The sequence below is a fragment of the Homo sapiens genome, chromosome 10 (assembly GCF_000001405.40).
Source record: "Homo sapiens chromosome 10, GRCh38.p14 Primary Assembly".
Lineage (NCBI taxonomy): Eukaryota > Metazoa > Chordata > Mammalia > Primates > Hominidae > Homo > Homo sapiens.
The window spans coordinates 121908356-121927473 of record NC_000010.11 but is presented as its reverse complement, the minus strand read 5'-3'; the positions used below and the strand labels follow the sequence as shown (position 1 = coordinate 121927473).

The following is a 19118-nucleotide window of genomic DNA, read 5'->3' as shown; positions in this document are numbered from 1 at the left end:
GCGAGGGCGAAACGCGGTGCAGAGGGAGCTGTGGGTGTGCACACAGGTGCCGGTCATGTATGAATCAGACTTCCCTGGACGAATGTACAGGAAGGATGAGCCCTTTGCATCTCTGGGTTAAAAAAAAAAAAAGTTAAAAAAAAAAAGGACAAGAAACTGGTGACCGCGGTCGCTACCGGCGAGGGATTCTGTTTGTCCTGATCTGTTTGAAATTTTTACCATTTGCTTATATGCCGTGTCTTTCCTCCACCCACCCGGACGACAGCAAAGCCAGCCCACAAGTTTGTTTTGTTTTTCCATCGTGATTCAGATTTCTTTGGGGGAGATTTGTTGCTGGTAAACAAAACATCGTGTTTATTTCCTCTCTTGCCATGCATTTGCCAATATAGAATGTAGACTCTATTATTTTAATAGAACAGTCTAGCTTTGTGGAAAACGAGATTCGCATGAAAACACACAGGCATTTTCCATGAAAAAGGTGTAAGTGGGGAATGATTTGGTCGATAACGGTGTGTGCATTTGCTCCTTCATTAAAAGTGTTTATTAAGTGCTACTTGTGGGCAGCGGTTTTGAGTAGACAGTTATGCAATCGTTAGAAGTGAGGATTATGAAGACTAAATGGAAAAATGCTTCCAGTTTGGACTTAAACGGAGAAAATCAACAGGATGCAAATGGCTTATGCGACATGATTACAGTTCTGAAAGGAAGAAGGCCCGGAAGTACACCAAATCGTGACAGTGGTAATATGGCCTTAGAGTATTGTGGATTTCTACCTTCTCTTTTTCAGAATTTTTGTATTTTGGCTATAATATTTATCAAATCAATAAGTTACATTAAACGTGCCTAAAATTAATATTTTAATAGGTCATTACTTATTTTTTTCCAATAATTGTGATAAGAGAAAATTGGCTAACATAAATGTCTTGTATTTCACGTTTTGTCGAAGAAACCTGCCTGCAACCTTTCCATCAAGAGAAAATAATCATCAATTTCTAGTATCTCGATTTTAATTTTAATACTCTTTATTATGGGGCATCTACTTACTTGGTAGGTGAGTTTTATTTTTTTATTTACAGATGATGAAATTGAGGCTTATTGGGTAACTCCTTAGTGTGAGTGAGTGCCTGCCAGGTGTCGGGATATTTCTGTTGGACTCCAGTGCCATGCTTTTCCCACTATATTCTGCTCTATCAAGCCTGTCATATCTCTGATGTGATTTACTGTTTACAAAAGGGAAAAATCCATTTATTTATTTATTTATTTTGAGACACAGTTTCACTTTTGTTGCCCAGGCTGGAGTTCAGTGGCACAATCTTTGCTCACTGCAACCTCCACCTCCCAGGTTAAAGGGATTCTCCTGCCTCAGCCTCCCGAGTAGCTGTGATTACAGGTGCCCGCCACCACGGCCGGCTAATTTTTTTGTATTTTTAGTAGAGACGGGGTTTCACCATGTTGGCCAGGCTTGGTCTTGAACTCCCGACCTCAGGTGATCTACCCGCCTCGGCCTCCCAAAGTGCTGGGATTATAGGCATGAGCCACTGCACCTGGCCCATTTCTTTTTTAACTTTAATTTTTTTTTTTTTTTTAAGAGGCAGTCTTGCTCCTTTGCTCAGGCTGGAATGCAGTGGTGTGTTCATAGCTTACTGCAGCCTCAAATCTCAAATTCCTGGTCTCAAGCCTCCTCCCACCTCAGCCTCCCAAGTAGCTGGGACCACAGGCACAGGCCACAAAACCTGATTAATTATGATTATTATTTTTTTTTTGTGAAAACAGAGATTTGGTATGTTGCACAGGCTGGTCTTGAACTCCTGACCTCAAGTGATCTTCCATGTTGGCCTTCCAAAGTGTTGGGATTATAGGCTTGAGCCACCACCTCATGAAGCCTTTAGTTCTGATATGCCTTTAAATGTTTCCTCATAGTCTTCGTTTTTTTTCATAGTTGCGTGATTATTCCATCATGTTGACAACATCATAGCCCCTGTAATCATCTTCCTGTTCCTTGGCATTTGAGTTACTTTCTTTCTTTCTTTCTTTTTTTTTTTTTTTGAGACAGAGCTTCACTCTTGTTGCCCATGCTGGAGTGTGGAGTGCAATGGCTCGATCTCGAGTCACTGCAACCTCCGCCTCCTGGGTTCAAGCGATTCTCCTGCCTCAGCCTCCCAAGTAGCTGGGATTACAGGCATGTGCCACCATTCCCGGCTAATTTTGTGTTTTTAGTAGAGATGGGGTTTCACCATGTTGGCCAGGCTGGTCTCAAACTCCTGACCTCAGATGATCTGCCCATCTTGGCCTCCAAAAGTGCTGGGATTACAGGCGTGAGCCACTGTGCCCAGCTGAGTTACTTTCAGTTCTTACACTTAGAAGGAATATTGTTACATACTTTTCTCCAATTTTTGATGCTCAAGACTGTACTGTAAATATATACCTGTATATAAATCAGGAGAACTAATAAGCACAAAACATTTTGCTAAGTTTTCTGAAGAGACCAGCATGTTAAATCATTGGGGATATTTATTAAAGTTTGAAGGTCTGATGCAGTCTGATTGCAGTGAGGACTTAAATTTATGCTGTCATAGAGACTATTGACTAATCCTCAAATAAATATAATTAACTTCGATGTGTTTTTTTGAATGAAAATATATATAGTGTCATTCTTTATTTGTGCTGTGTGTATGCCCAACTAACAGCTGTGAAGTATGTACAAACTTTTCATTTATCCAATATGAGTGTTTTGGAATTTTAACCTAAACACTCCTATTTTTTTTTTTTTTTTTGAGATGGAGTCTCACTCTGTCGCCAGGGCTGGAGTGCAGTGGCGTGATCTTGGCTCACTGCAACCTCCGCCTCCCGAGTTCATGTGATTCTCCTGCTGCAGCCTCTTGAGTAGCTGGGATTACAGGCGCCCGCCACTATGCCCAGCTAAATTTTTGTATTTTTAGTAGAGATGGGGTTTCACCATGTTGGCCAGGCTGGTCTTGAACTCCTGACCTTGTGATTTGCCCGCCTTGGCCTCCCAGAGTGCTGGGATTACAGGCATGAGCCACCGTGCCCGGACACACACTCCTATTTTTAAACCTCACACTTTGAATTTAAAAAAGAAAAAAGGTTACCCTGCCGTAATTAACACACTACTTATTTTTTCAGGCATGTGGGCACATTCCATGACAGTACAGGATTATCAGGATCTCATAGACCGAGGATGGCGAAGGTAAAGCTTCCAGATACAAAGAGACTTCCTACTGTTACTCAGGTTCTTGAAAAATACAGCATGCCTTTGAAATGCTTTCCTGTTGGAAAGAGGTTTAAGAAAAATTTTTATTATATTCTTTTATGTAGTGATTTTTTGTCTCCTTTTTAAAAAACTTTGTTAGGAAAATGTCAAATATCTATAAAAGCAGAGAGTACATTAGAATGAACCTCAAGTACCTATCACTAAGCTTCAGCAGTTATTAACGTTCTGCCAATCATGTTTGATTCTCCTGCTCCACCTTTTAATATTTAACAGCAAATTACATCAGTAGGTTATTATGACATTTATCCTATCAATAGATAGGCAATAAGTATGTATCTCTAAGAGAGAGGTCTTTTTTTCTTTTTAACTTATCCACAATGCTGTATCACACCTTACAAAATTAATAAAAATTCTTTGATGTTACCTGTTACCTACTTTTTATTAGATTTTCCAGATTGTCTCAAAAATGTCTTCTTTAACAGTTTATTTGGATAAGGATTTCCTTAAAGTCCACACATGGCCTGTTTTGAGTAGTTATTTTTATGTGGATGATTTTTAAGTAACTCTTAGGTAAAGTTCCTTGTGTAAATATAAGTAATATTAAATACTGTACGCTAATACTTGCCAAAGACGTGGGATTGGGAGCACCAGCTGAAATATCACAACTTTCCTTAAACTTAATGAGATTCAAAAGGTAGACATAGGTCAGATTTTAAAGGACTTCACATGCCATGATAAGGAACTTTTTTTTTTAGAGACATGGTCTCGCTCTGTTGCCCAGGCTAGAGTCGCTCTCTTGCCCAGGCTAGAGTACAGTGCCATCATCATAGCTCACTGTAACCCCAAATTCCCACACTCAAGTGATCCTCTTGCCTCAGCCTCTGCAGTGGCTAGGACTACAGGTGTGCATCACAACACCTGGCTAATTTTTCAGTTTTTTGTAAGATCTTGGCTATGTTGCCCGTGCTGGTCTCGAACATCTGGTTGCAAGTGTTCTTCCAGCTTAGCTTTTCAAAGTGTTGGGATTATAGGTATGAACCACCATGCCTGGCCAGAACTTTTTAGAAGGCAGTCATGGAAGGATTTTATGGTAAGAGAGAAATGTGAAGGAATTTGTTTTAGAAAAGATTGTTCAGATGGCTGAGAGGTATTTGAGGGGGGGTCATAGAGGCAGGAAGATGAGTTCAAAGGTTATTGCGCTATCCAGATGTGCGATGATGAGGACTGTCACCTTAGTGGCAATGGTGATAGAGAAGAGGGGACAATTTAGGATAGGGTTTAAAATGAAGGAAAGCTTGCTAATAGGATATAGAGGTGAATTCCAGGGAGGAGTTTAAAATGACTCCCAGGTCTCTGACTTGAGAACAGAATGAACAGTTCTGTTAGTACCATAGACCTGGAATGCATGGAAAGAAGCGGGTTAGTTTTGGGGTACTCCGTGCTGGTGCATGTGGAATACCCAAGTGTGGTTGTCACAGGCATCACATACATGAGTCCCACAGCATCGTGGGCATTTCTCTCATTGCCCTTGTGGTATTGGGGATTGGTGGCAGGTGAAGGCAGAGCAGGGGTGGCAGATGCTGGTGAGAGGGGAACTGAGATGATTGGCCGTGGGGTACACAAGTAAAGCTTTAGGAAATAAAAGGCAGGGTTCTAAACTTTGCTACACGCACTTTGAAGATTATTTGGCTTATGAAGAGTAATTAAACCTACATGCATTTCTACAATGTTGATTAGATTTTTAACCTTAATTTAATGCTCCTGTGCTAGGCTGTTTTGGTGCAAGTGAAAAATATATAAGACATTAACAAACTATTTTTATAATTTTAGAAGTGGAAAATATGTGTACAAACCTGTCATGAATCAAACATGTTGTCCTCAGTACACAATAAGGTAAGAATTTTAATTAGTAGAAAGAGGATTTATAGTATGAAGATTGTGTATAATATTTTAGTAGTCTCTTGTGCTTTTTTAATGTTTATTTCCGCTCTAGGTAGATGTCCTTTAAAAGGAAAAGTAAATGAGTTATGTCTTTTCTTCATACTGATGCTGTATTTATGTGCTGATCAGTAGGTTTTAGTAATATTGTTTGATTGGTTCAGATATAAATATGTGAAAAAAATACCCTCTTAATTTAGCAATCTTGTCAATGAATGCCATGAAATATTGGGAAAATGTTGGTAAATATTCACATTACTTTTGGATATTAAATATTATAGGACTTAGCTTAGAATTTTCTGCATTCTGGTGTATTGCTTGACACAGTGCTTGTGTTCAAGCAATGCTACAGGCTCCTATAAATTACTTGGTAGGTTCACGTTCTCATGTTGTGGGATTCAGGAGGACAAGAGAGACCTCGGGTTAAAACAGGAGAAACTTTATTGAGTGCACTTAGGCCCAGCTGACTCAACGTCTAAAAGACTGGGCCCGGAACAAAGACTTTTATACACAGTTCACAGAAGGGGGTGGGCTAGCTTGAAGCAAGCTTACAGTGGCGTGAAAGCAGGGATACAGAGGCAGGACAAACTCAGGATTGCACATGACCGTTGCCAAGCAACCCAGATGTCCGTTATCTAGGTTTGCCTGGGCTTATCCCATAATCTTCACTATGGTGCCCAGGCAGCTGCAGTTCAGGCCTACTCAGGCTTCTCATGACATTCATTGTACTTCTCAGATAAAACAATACTTGAAGTCACTAGTTACAGAGAACAGGAATCTATGAACTCATTCCGTAAAACAAAGGAAAATTTATTTTTTCTTCTCTGCATGTTGAGTGCTGGGAGAATCTCCAGAGCACACTAGATAATATTATCAAGGCTTTTCCTGGGTCTGGGCCGTGCCTGTTGCTGCCTCTGGGACAAGTCGGCCTAATACAGGAAAGCTTATTTATCTTTCTTTTTAATTTTATTTTTCTTTAATTTCCCACCTCACTCACTTATAAGTGGGAGCTAAACCTTGGGTACTCAGACATAAAGATGGCAAAAGTAGAAGCTGGAGACTACTAGAGGAGGAGGGAGGGCGTGAGCTAAGGGTTGAAAAACCAACTTGGTATGACGATCAGTACCTGGGTGGTGGGATCATCCATATTGCAAACCTCAGCATCATGCAATATATCCAGGTCACCAGCCTGTACCTATACCCCCTGAATCTAAAATAAAAGTTGAAAAAAAAATTAATTGGAAGGAAGAGGGCTTAAATTTAATCTGCCACTTACACTTAGAGTCCAGTTTTTTTTTTTTTTTTTTAAAGAGACGGAGTCTCGCACTGTCGCCTGGGCTGGAGTGCAATGGCGCGATCTCGGCTCACTGCAACCTCTGCCTCCTGGGTTCAAGTGATTCTCCTGCCTCAGCCTCCCGAGTAGCTGGGATTACAGGTGCCTGCCACCACGCCCGGCTAATTTTTTGTATTTTTAGTAGAGATGGGGTTTCACTATGTTGGCCAGGCTGGTCTTGAACTCCTGACCTCATGATCCACCTGCCTCAGCCTCCCAAAGTGCTGATATTACAGGCGTGAGCCACTGCACCTGGCCCAGAGTCCAGTTTTCTTAAATGGGAAACTTAAACCAAAGTCTATTTTCCTACAAAGTCTTCGTTGGATTTTTTCATAATCTTTTGGATTTTCCATGTACCTTCTCACCTCACCCTAACATAGAAAAATCTTCTCTCTTATTCTGGTTATAAGGTCATCATCATCTTTTTCTTCTTTTTTCTTTTTTTTTTTGAGACAGGGTCTTGCTCAGGCTGGAATGCAGTAGCACAACCATGGCTCACTGCAGCCTGCCTGCCAGGCTCAAGTAATCCTCCCACCTCAGCCTCCCAAGTAGCTGGGACTGTAGGTACACACCACCAGGCCTGGCAAATTACATTTTTTTTTATAGAAAAGGGGTCTTGCCATGTTTCCTAGGCAGATCTCACCATGTTTCCTAGGCTGATCTCGCCATGTTTCCTAGGCTGATCTCCAACTTCTAGGCTCAAAGGAGCCTCCTGCCTCAGCCTCCCAAAGTGCTGGGATTATAGGTGTGAGCTACTACTGCACCTGAACCTTTTTTTTTGATAGAAAATGTGAAAAGTGCGTTAACATTTTGAAGCATGTATTTGCCCCCAATTTCAATGTGTATATATACTCATAAAATTAAAAGACAGTTTTACTTTAAGAAATGAAAAATTAAAAAATTAAACAGTTTTTTGTCCATTAGTTTTTTTGTTTGGTCCTCAAAGCTGTCTCCCTTGGTTGCTCTTAACTTGTTTTTGGGTTGCAAACCATTTTGAGAAGTCGATGAGAGCTGGCCTCCTGCCCAAAGGGATGTAGACAAAAATATGTAACATTTTGCATATCCTCCCCACCGAGACTGAGTCTTGCTGTGTCACCCAGGCTGGAGTGCAGTGGTGTGATCTCAGCTCACTGCAGTGTCCGCCTCCTGGGTTCTAGCAGTGCTCTTGCCTTAGCCACCTGAGTATCCGGGACTACAGATGCCCACCGCTAGGCCTGGTTAATTTTTGTGTTTTTAGTAGAGACGGGGTTTCACCATGTTGGCCGCGCTACTCTCGAACTCGTGATCTACCCACCTCAAAGTGCTGGGATTTCAGGCGTGAGCCACCATGCCCAGCACATTTTGCGTGTTAATTTTAGAATGATCGCAGACTCCCAAAGGTTCACTGATACTTGATTAGGAGCTTTTTTTTTGAGATGGAGTCTTGCTGTCGCCCAGGCTGGAGTGCAGTGGTGCTATCTCGGCTCACTGCAACCTCTGCCTCCCGTGTTCAAGCGATTCTCCTGCCTCAGCCTCCCGACTAGCTGGGATTACAGGCGTGCACCACCACACCTGGCTAATTTTTTTGATATTTTTAGTAGAGATGGGTTTCACCATGTTGGCCAAGCTGGTCTCGAACTCCTGACCTCAGGTGATCTGCCCGCTTCAGCCCCCCAAAGTGCTGGTGTATCTGGAGTTGGTTCCTTCTGGTGGGTTCTTGGTCTCGCTCACTTCAAGAATGAAGCCGCAGACCTTCGCAGTGAGTGTTACAGCTCTTAAATGTGACGCAGACCCAAAGAATGAGCAGCAGCAAGATTTATTGTGAAGTGTGAAAGAACAAACCTTCCACAGTGTGGAAGGGGACCCTAGTGGGTTGCCACTGCTGGGTAGGGTGGCCAGCTTTTATTCCCTTATTTGTCCCTGCCCATGTCCTGCTGATTGGTCCATTTTACAGAGTGCTGATTGGTCCATTTTATAGAGTGCTGATTGGTCCATTTTATAGAGTGCTGATTGGTCCATTTTACAAACCTCTAGCCACAGAGCACTGATTGGTGCGTTTTACAATCCTCTAGCTAGCTACAGAGCGCCGATTGGGGCGTTTTACAATCCTAGCTACAGAGAGCTGATTGGTGCATTTTACAATCCTCTTGTAAGAAAAGTTCTTCACGTCCCCCCCACCCCCGCCCCGACCCAGAAGTCCAGCTGGCCGTTGGATTGGCAGAGGATGAGAAAAATGGGGTCTGGTTTGCTGACACTGTGTCATTACACAAAGAATAGAATGACAGAGTATCCTGTGCTGTCCTCTTTCAGTTTTCGTGGTTATAAAGAGAAGGTATCTTCTAAGGCAGAAGTCATTTGTCTTCAATTAGCAATTTATTGGATTATGGACAGGATTCTATTCATAAGTTTGAAGTTGATTGGCTTAATCTGTGATCAGAAAAGGGTGATTTCGATTGGTTAAAGAAAAAAGAATCTAAATTGTATTTGGTGCCTGTTACATGGAAAGCACTATTCTAAGCATATTGCCTTTATAAAAGGGGATTCATTAACATTGCAAAATAAAGTAGTTATGTGATTTTTGCATTTTACGTGGCATCAAATGTTTCCTGAATTGCGTCTCTTTGTAATTCATTATACATCATCTTTTTTTTTTTTTTTTGAGACAGAATCTTGTTTAGTCTCCCAGGCTGGAGTGCAGTGGCGCGATCTCTGCTCACTGAAACCTCCGCCTCCCAGGTTCAAGTGATTCTTCTGCCTCAGCCTCCTGAGTAGCTGGGACTACAGGCGCATGCCACCATGCCCTGCTAATTTTTGTATTTTTAGTAGAGACGGGGTTTCACCATATTGGCCAGGTTGGTCTGGAACTCCTGACCTCATGATCCGCCTGCCTTGGCCTCCCAAAGTGCTGGGATTACAGGCGTTGAGCCACTGGGCCCAGCCACATCATCTTTTTATGGAGTCATTTTCCATATTTACTCTTCTGGTTATTTTTACCTTGTATATAACAGCAGTTGCAATGAGAACTTAGATAAAGGAAAGGGGCTTATAGCTAACAGCTTAGCTTCTTGTTAGTCAGTAGGGACTCTCCAGTATGTGTGTATAAATGAGGATGAACTTTTCTGGCTATGATTTTTTAAGTTTTTTATTTTTATCAGAATTCCACATGCTCATTAAATGTCAAGTTGCAATAAAGTTTGTTTTGGAAAAAGCAATCCCCCAACCCCCCTGTCCCATTTCCTGTTCCCCTAAGGCAGTCATCTTGAAACATTTTAACTAATTCTTTTGGTTTTTCATCTCCCTGTCTTTAAGCAACATGCTTATATAATTGTAACACTTGCATTTTTTTTCTTTTTCTGTTAGTTTTCTCCATTATTTCCGGGCTTCTCTCTGTGGAAGATAAGGATTTAGTTTTCTCTTATCCCTGTTTCCCTGCCACATTCAAGCTCGTTTTTGTCCCCATCCCTAGCTTTCCATTCAGAAGTGTGATTTTGGGCAGATGTGTTCATATCCATTGTGACTGTGTAAATATGCTTCACAACTGAACCATGGCGGGTACTGTGATTACTTTTCCTGCACAAGTTTTTGCTTTCCTTGGAGTTACTAATTATCTTTTTTGTTTGCATAGTGTATATAACTATGACCAGATTATTTTGAAAATAAATCCCAGTTATGTAAGTTTTTTCTTAGTATATTTAAACGCATCAAGTGCTATGATCGCTTTTATCTACTTGAGAAAAGTCCCTTGTGGAGCCTTCTGACCGGCTTGATCTGAACAGGTTACCCCCTGCACCTGAAGCATCACGGTCAGCCTGGGCTATTTTTTTTTTTGAGATGGAGTTTTGCTGTTGTTGCCCAGGCTGGAGTGTACTGGCACAATCTCAGTTCACTGCAACCTCCACCCTTGGGCTCAAGTGATTTTCCTGCCTCAGCCTCCTGAGTAGCTGGGATTACAGGCGCCCACCACTATGCCTGGCTAAGTTTTGTATTTTTAGTAGAGATGGGGTTTCATCATGTTGGCCAGGCTGGTCTCGAACTCCATACCTCACATGATCCACCCACCTCGGCCTCCCAAAGTGCAGGGATTACAGGCATGAGCCACCATATGTGGCCTGGGCTATTCTTTTTACTGTCATCTTGGGGATTTTTTTTTTTTGTTTGAGACGGAGTCTCGTTTTGTTGCCCAGGCTGGAGTGCAGTGGCGCGATCTTGGCTCACTGCTCCCTCTGCCTCCCAGGTTCAAGTGATTCTCCTGCCTTAGCCTCCCGAGTAGCTGGGACTACAGGCATGTGCCACCATACCTGGCTAATTTTTTGTATTTTCAGTAGAGACGGGGTTTCACCGTGTTAGCCAGGATGGTGTTGATCTCCTGACCTCGTGATCCACCTGCCTCAGCCTCCCAAAGTGTTGGGATTGCAAGCGTGAGCCACCGCGCCCGGCCTGGGGATTCTTTTTAGCACCTGAGTTGGAAACCCTTCTTTCTTGGATTATTCCCTTGTTTTAGTGAAGCACATCTTCTAATAGAGAAAGTGCATAAGAGTTACATTTTTGAGACCTTGTGTGTCTGCAAACTTTGATTCACTGCTCAAACTTTAGTTTGGGAGGGTACAGAAGTGCAGGATGAAAATAATTTTTCTAGAATTTTGTTCCACTATCGTATTATTACTGTTGAGAAGTGCGGTGATATTCTGATCCTCATACCTTTGTCTGAGACGTGTTCTTTCTCTTTGGAAGTGTTCCTTTTTTTTGTTGTTGTTTTTTGTTTTTCGAGGCAGAGTCTCGCTCTGTTTCCCAGGCTGGAGTGCAGTGGTGTGATCTCTGCTCACTGCAAGCTCCGCCTCCTGGGTTCATGCCATTCTCCTGCCTCAGCCTCCTGAGTAGCTGGGACTACAGGTGCCTGCCACCACGCCCGGCTAATTTTTTGTAGAGACGGGGTTTCACCTTGTTAGCCAGGGTGGTCTCCATCTCCTGACCTTGTGATCTGCCCGCCTCGGCCTCCCAAAGTGCTGATATTACAGGCATGAGCCACTGTGCCTGGCCGAAGCTTTTCTTTTCTTCTCTTTTTCTTGTTTTTTTTTGTTTTGTTTTGTTTTGTTTTTTTTTTGAGATGGAGTCTCACTCTGTTGCCCAGGCTGGAGTGCAGTGGTGTGATCTTGGCTCACTGCAAGCTCTGCCTCCCAGGTTCATGCCATTCTCCTGCCTCAGCCTCCCAAGTAGCTGGAACTACAGGTGCCCGCCACCACGCCTGGCTAATTTTTTTTGTATTTTTATTAGAGACAGGGTTTCACCATGTTAGCCAGGATAGTCTCGATCTCCTGACCTCGTGATCCGCCTGCCTCGGCCTCCCAAAGTGCTGGGATTACAGGTGTGAGCCACGGCGCCCGGCCTCTCTTAGGAAGCTTTTCTATCCTCTGTTCTACATTTCATAGTCAGTTTGGCTATGTGTCTGTTTTTATCCATCACAGACAAACTGGAGGGGCCCTTCTTATCTGGGGGCTCGTCCCATCTTATCCTTTAGTTCAGGGGAATTTTCTTAAATTTTTTATTCTATCTTTTCACCTCCATTTTCTTTTTTAATGCCTTTATTTAGATTTTGGACCTTTTAAACTAGTCTCTGACTTTACCTTTTCTCTTCAGTTTTTCATCTTTTTTGCAGAATCTTCTGGAAGGTTTCTTCAACTTCAGTTTTCAGGTCTTCTACTTAATTTTTACATTTCTCCTGTCATATTTTTACTTTTGAAGTTGTTTTTGTTCTCAGACTCTTATTTGTTTATTTAATAACACCTTGTTATTTTATGGATGTAGTGGCTTAATAAACGAGATCTTCCTAAGGATTTTTTTAAAAGGTTCTCTTCTTTCTGTCATGGTCTATGTCCTCCAGGTTACTTTCTCCAGTTTGTTCGGTACCTATCTTTTCAGTGGAGGCTCTTCTCGAGTGTCTGGTGATTCTGACTTTTCAGTGTTCCATTGGAAATTCCGTGTACCTGATGGGTTTGGTTTACTGTGGGTCTTGGGTGTTTCTCGGCCTTGTTTACTGTGGGTGATCTGGCTGGGCTCTTCTGTTGGGGAATCCCTGATGTTAGTATTTTTAGGTCTGATCACATTCTGGAGAGAAAGTATTTCATAACCTGCTGTTGTTCTGGACCTGGGTTGGTGATCTCAACATGTACTGTGTACACTTTTATTTAAGCCGTTTTCAGTAGTACCGCTGCTTTCAGCTGTGGCTTGCATCCATCCTGTAAGAGGCTCTATGTTACTCTTTCCTGCAAGTTTGCAGTTTTCTGCTGGGTTGAGTAGGGAGTCGTCTAGTCATCTGCGGATGGGAGAGGGGATCTGACATCTATCCTAACTGCTTCGAAAACAAGACTTTGAAGGGATCTTTCTATTTTTAGACCTAACTTTCACTCATATTTCCAGAGCTATGAGGTGTCACCAATCCCTAAGACTTTTAAGGGTAATATAGAGAAAATTGGCTTTTTTTTTTTCCACTGTTGGCCTAGGATTCAACTTTCTTTGGTCTGTTAAAACAGCATTGCTTTGTATATCTGTTTTCCAGCTTCTAACACTTCTGTCCTTCTCTTTTTTCTAGTGTTTTATGTCTTTCTCTCTTTAAAAAAAAAAAAAATCTCTTGCTGGGAATGGTGGCTCATGCACGTAATCCCAGCATTTTGGGAGGCCGAGGCAGGTGGATCACGAGTTCAGGAGTTTGAGACCAGCCTGACCAACATGGTGAAACCCTGTCTCTACTGAAAATATAAAAATTAGTAGGGCATGGTGGTGCATGCCTGTAATCCCAGCTACTCAGGAGGCTGAGGCAGGAGAATCACTTGAACCTGAGTGGCAGAGGTTGCAGTGAGCCAAGATGGTGCCAGTGTACTCCAGTCTGGGCGACAGAGTGAGACTCTATCTCAAAAGAAAAAAAAAATCTCTTAACTATAATCTTAGTGTGATGTGGGCTGGGATTAGAGGCTACATTAAGCCCCATCTTTAACCAGAAATCTCAGGCATGAGATGGTCTCATTGTACTAGGTGATATCCAGAACTGATTTCATTTCTTCAAGGTTTGAGTTCACTTTTTAAATATTTATTTTGCTTTCCTAGGTGCCGACCTTTACAATTTCAGCCTTCAAAATCTCACAAGAAGGTTTTGAAAAAAATGTTGAAATTTCTAGCTAAAGGGGAGGTTCCCAAAGGAAGTTGTGAGGGTAAGATGGGCTGGGTCTAAAAACGATTTACTATCTGTCTTTGCAACGGTCCCACTTTCAGTCATCTTGGGAAGGGGAAGGGTCATTAATACAGTCATGTACTGCTACTACTATGATGACAGCGACTACTGTTAGCACTGCTATTACTGTTACCATCGGCCCCCAAGTCAAGGCATGGGAATATATATCAGAAGAGTTTAGCGTGGAAAGAATATTGAGGATCATGTTAAATTTGTGATTTCTTGGAGTTTATCAAAATATCTGTTTCCAGAATGCTTTGATAACTCATCTTTCTTGATCCTAATACTATCCTTATGAAGTAAATAGAAAGTGCCATTGTCTCTCAAGAAGCAAGTGCTTACATGCAGCTTGGACAAGATTGCCCTATTCCTTTTAATGCTGAATAAAGATCAGCTTTTCTGTGTTTGAATAAGGCTTTACTTCAGTAAATTATACTGTTTGAAATCCTCTTATTTGTGTGATCAGTTTTGAATTGTGAGTGGCTTTGCTAAAACATAATAGCATTTATTTAACTTTAGTTACACATGATTTGCTTTTTTTCTTAGTCTTTTTACTAATTTTGGTTTTATTTCTTTAAATTTTCATATTGGGGCCGGGGGCAGTGGCTCACGCCTGTAATCCCAGCACCTTGGGAGGCCGAGGCAGGCGGATCATGAGGTCAGGAGATGGAGACCATTCTGGTTAACATGGTGAAACCCTGTCTCTACTAAAAATACAAAAAATTAGCCTGGCGTGGTGGCAGGCGCCTGTAGTCCCAGCTACTTGGGAGGTTGAGGCAGGAGAATCGCTTGAACCTGGGAGGCAGAGGTTGCAGTGAGCCGACATTGTGCCACTGCACTCCAGCGTGGGTGACAGAGCAACAAAAAATTGGCCGAGCTTCGTGGTGCACGCCCGTAGTCCCAGCTACTCGGAGGCTGAGGCACAAGAATCAGGGAGGTCAAGGCTGCAGTGAGCCAAGATCCTGCCACTGCACTCCAGCCTAGGTGACAGAGCAAGACTCTGTCTCCACCAAAAAAAAAAAAAGGAATTAGGTTCTGAGTTAGAAAAATGAACATGGAGATAAGCATTGAAGATGCTGTCCATTTGTAAATTGGTGGTTGCCTTTCTTTTATTTTTGGAGACGGAGTCTTGCTCTGTCGCCCGGGCTGGAGTGCAGTGGCTCAATCTTGGCTCACTGCAACCTCCACCTCCCGGGTTCAAGGCATTCTGTTGTCTCCGCCTCCCGAGTAGCTGGGACCACAGGCACCCGCCACCACATCTGGCTAATTTTTTTGTATTTTTAGTAGAAACGGGGTTTCACTGTGTTGGCCAGGCTGGTCTCAAACTCTTGACCTTGTGACCTGCCCGCCTTGGCCTCCCAAAGTGCTGGGATTACAGGTGTGAGCCACCACATCTGGCTGCCTCTCTTTCTTTTGTAGTGTTTATATTTGGTTGTTTATTTGACTTGTTACAGGCTTCTGAATTATCTGTGCCTGGAACTAGGAGTGATGTACTCATTAGAGTAAAGGAATAAACAGCTATGACAAAAAGATACCAAAATGCAATAACTAAAAGAAAGATAAAAGTCTGTTTCTTTCGGGGCCGGGTGTGGTGGCTCACACCTGTAGTCCCAGCACTTTGAGAGGCCAACACAGGCGGATCACGAGGTCAGGAGATCAAGACCATCCTGGCTTACACGGTGAAACCCTGTCTTCTCTAAAATTACAAAAAATTAGCCGGGCTTGGCCGGGCATGGTGGTTCACGCCTGTAATCCCAGCACTTTGGGAGGCCGAGGCAGGTGGATCACGAGGTCAGGAGATCGAGACCATCCCGGCTAACACAGTGAAATCCCGTCTGTATTAAAAATGCAAAAAATTAACTGGGCATGGTGGTGGGCGCCTGTGGTCCCAGCTACTTGGGAGGCTGAGGCAGGAGAATGGCGTGAACTTGGGAGGCGGAGCTTGCAGTGAGCCGAGGTCGCGCCCCTGCACTGCAGCCTGGGCGACAGAGGGAGACTCCTCAAAAAAAAAAAAGTCTGTTTCTTTCCTCACATAACAGTTCAGTGTGGGTGTTCTAGGTTGGCGTTCAACTCTTCTCCCCACCAGCCATTCTGGGCTTTTCTTTAACATGTGATTTCCCAGGTTGCTCTGGTTTTTACTAATCCAGCCATTGTGGGGAAGGGTAGAAGTTCAGGGTCGCAAGTTTCCTTTAAAACTAGTGAGGCATAATTGGATGTATCAGTTGTGTTATGTTCTGTTGGCAGGAGCTTGGTCACCACTTGTAAAGGGACTGGCAGTACATTGCCCTGCTAGGGCGCCACAGTTTTTGTTTTTTTTTTTTTTTTTTAATTTACTGTAGAGATAGTGTCTCACTATGTTGCCCAGGCAGGTCTTAAACTCCTGGCCTCAAGCAGTCCTCCTGTGTTGGCCTCCCAAAGAGCTGGAATTACAGGCATGAACCACCATGCCCAGCTGTGCCAGTCTTAAGTGCAGCTCTCTTATTTTGGAGGATGAGAATGGATTTGGTGGACAGATAGTAATTCTGCCACAATGGATAATAGGAACATTGTATTTCTGTATTTACCTAACTGTATCAAATAACCCAGCTGATGGATTTTTAATTTCTTCTGATTTGTAGATGAGCCCATGGATTCCACAATGGATGATGCTGTTGCGGGTGACTTTGCATTGATAAATAAACTGGATATACAGTGTGATCTTAAAACACTCAGTGATGACATCAAAGAGAGTTTAGAGAGTGAAGGAAAAAATTCAAAGAAAGAAGAACCTCAGGAATTACTTCAGTCACAAGATTTCGTAGGAGAGAAGTTGGGCTCTGGTGAACCGTCACATTCAGTTAAAGTTCACACAGTTCCTAAGCCAGGTAGTAAAGATTTTTGATACCAAGTCATATTCACGGCTTTGCTTTTTGCTGAGTCATTTTAAACCCTGGGTCTTTCCATCAGCCAAAAGGATGACTTAGTCGTGCAGTCTGTAAAACAGAACCCTGCTTTGTTTATTATTGCCTAGAATTAGATGGACAAATCATGCCTTTTACAAACTACTATGCTTAAAAAGCCTGTAACAATAGCCTTATCCCTAAATACAGATATTTTCAAAGAGTTCCATTTCTACTTACTACTTTAGGGCCTTACAGGGTTGAGAATCAAATTTTTCTCAGTGAAAAGGAGTGATAAACATTCTTATTTTAACATTAAGTGAGACAACATGAATTATAGTTATTATGTCCAAAATACAGACATTATAAAATTCTTCAGTTTATCATTAAATTTTTTAATGTAATTTTAGTGTATTTTAGTTTTAAAATGTCCAGATTTTGATGTTTAACTTTGCCTTTAATCAGGTAAGATTTTTTTATGTTATTACTTATAAAAGAATTAGGCTTAATAAGTTTATCCAGTATTAAATGAATTTAATATGTGTGTATATGACTCTTTTAAAATTATTTCGTGAAATGTGAAGTTGGATGGTTATTAGTTTATTAGATGTGTCAGTTTTTGAATTAGTTCTTATATTTATGCCAAATGATCCAAGGGAAAGATTTTTAGTACTATTTTAGTTTTTCTTGTCTAAACTATGTTACACATGTTAAAGTAGAGAAAATTCTCCATTTGCAATTTTATTGAATAGTTTTTTACATAAGGTTTTCATGTTAAGTTGATTTTGGTCTGAGATTTCATCCTAATTAATACTAATAGTTCAAGAAAATATTTATTTTTTAATTTGAGACAGGGTCTTGCTCTGCCGCCTAGGCTGGAGTGAAGTGGCGTGATCATAGCTCACTGCAGCCTTGAGCTCCTGGGGCCAAGTGATCCTCTTGCCTTAGGTTCCTGAGTAGGTAGGAATACAGGAGCTTGTCACCATGCCTAGTTCTTTTAAAATTTTTTGTAGAGACAGGGTCTCACTATATTACCCAGGCTGGTCTCCAACTCCTCACCTAGTTATCCTCCCACCCTCGCCTCCCAAAGTGCTGAGATTACAGGCATGAGCCACTGTGCCCAGCTCCCAGTGAAATATTTTGAATAATTCAGACAGTTTCTTTCAACTATTTCTCTCTGGGGGGTAGGGTCAATTCTTTTATTATTTTTTAATAAAATTACTTATAGTTTGTCAAATTTAAAAAATCGTTATTCAAACATAGATGAACATAGATTGAATAGTATAATCGACTTCCATGTACTCTACCTGCATTTGAAACAATTACTGACTCATGTCATAGCCACTCTTGTTTCATCTAGTTCCCCCTTCCAAAATTATATTGAGGCAAATTCCAGACATTGTGATATCCTGTATTTCAGAATACGTTTCTAAAAGATAAGAACTTTAAAAAAAATATTCACAATACCATTATTATACTTGAAGAAAATTTCTTAATGCCATTGAATAGTGTTCAAATTCCAATTTTTAAACATTTGTTTGTGTTAGGATCCAGATAATGTCCACATATTGTGATTGTTGATATATTTAAAAAATCTCTTACGGCCAGGAGTGGTGGCTTACAACTGTAATCCCAGCACTGTGGGAGACCGAGGCAGGTGGATTGCTTGAGCCCAGGAGTTTGAGACCAGCCTGAACAACATGGTGAAACCTGTCTGTACTAGAAATACAAAATATTAGCCAGGTGTTATGGTGCATGCCTGTAGTCCCAGCTACTTGGGAGGCTGAGGTGGGAGGATCACCTGAGCTTGGGAAGTCGAGGCTGCAGTGAGCTGAGATCGTGCCTCTGCATTCTAGCCTGGGTGGTGAGAATGAGACCCTGTCTCAAAACAACAACAACAATCTCTTTTGTTCTAGATATTCCCCTTCCATCATTCCTCAACTGGGTTGTTTGTCTTGGGTTGTTTGTTCCACTTTCTGTATCTGACAGGTTACGTTTGCAGTTTAACATGTTCCTCTGCCCGCTTATAAATTGATAGTTGGATATAGAGCCTTGATCAGATTCTAGGCTAAATTTTCTTTTGTCTATTTTTTTGCCGTGGGGCAGGGGGGCAAGTCTTAATCAGATTTGAGTTTGAATTATTTGAGGATGGGCAAGATCACTTCATGGGTGTTAGAGTGGTCTTTCAGGAGATGTGTAATGTCTGGGTGCTTCTCTTTTTGTTAGTGCTAATAGTCATGGATGTTCCATGCTTAAATTCATGTATTAGATACTCTATCATTTCTTCGTTTCCTGGCTGGCTGGACTGCTTCTATAAAGACAGCCTTCCGCTCATCTGTTTGTTTCTCATAAAAACCCATAGCAAAGGCAGGATATGTTCTTTTTTTTTGAAAGAATCTCACTCTGTCGCCTACGCTGGAGTGCTGTGGCGCGGTCTGGGCTCACTGCAGACTCCACCTCCGGGTTCCAGTGATTCTCCTGTCTCAGCCTTCAGAGTAGCTGGGATTACAGGTGCATGCCACCACAGCTGGCTAA

General features: G+C 42.0%; 1 protein-coding gene across 40 annotated transcripts in view, besides 1 other annotated feature; it reads left to right on the top strand.

The window, feature by feature from the left end:
* The window catches only part of ATE1 (arginyltransferase 1), a 188040-nt gene that overhangs the window by 990 nt on the left and 167932 nt on the right, over positions 1-19118 (top strand). For 17 of the 40 annotated variants that reach the window (NM_001439377.1, XM_047424530.1, NM_001288736.2 and 14 more), the window contains exons 2-5: positions 3145-3208; positions 5063-5125; positions 13581-13684; positions 16323-16568. In NM_001439377.1, the coding sequence (NP_001426306.1) occupies positions 3145-3208; positions 5063-5125; positions 13581-13684; positions 16323-16568 (477 nt within the window). Of the gene's footprint in view, position 1; positions 741-767; positions 1052-3144; positions 3209-5062; positions 5126-13580; positions 13685-16322; positions 16569-19118 lie in introns of those variants that run through there. The other 23 variants (NR_110006.2, NM_001439374.1, NM_001439379.1 and 20 more) reach the window with 10 other exon arrangements.
* Positions 82-231: an enhancer, noted in NCBI's record as "active region_4141". NCBI's record gives its function as "activates an Ori minimal core promoter by ATAC-STARR-seq in GM12878 lymphoblastoid cells {active_cell/tissue: GM12878}" and the evidence as "EXISTENCE:reporter gene assay evidence [ECO:0000049][PMID:35858748]".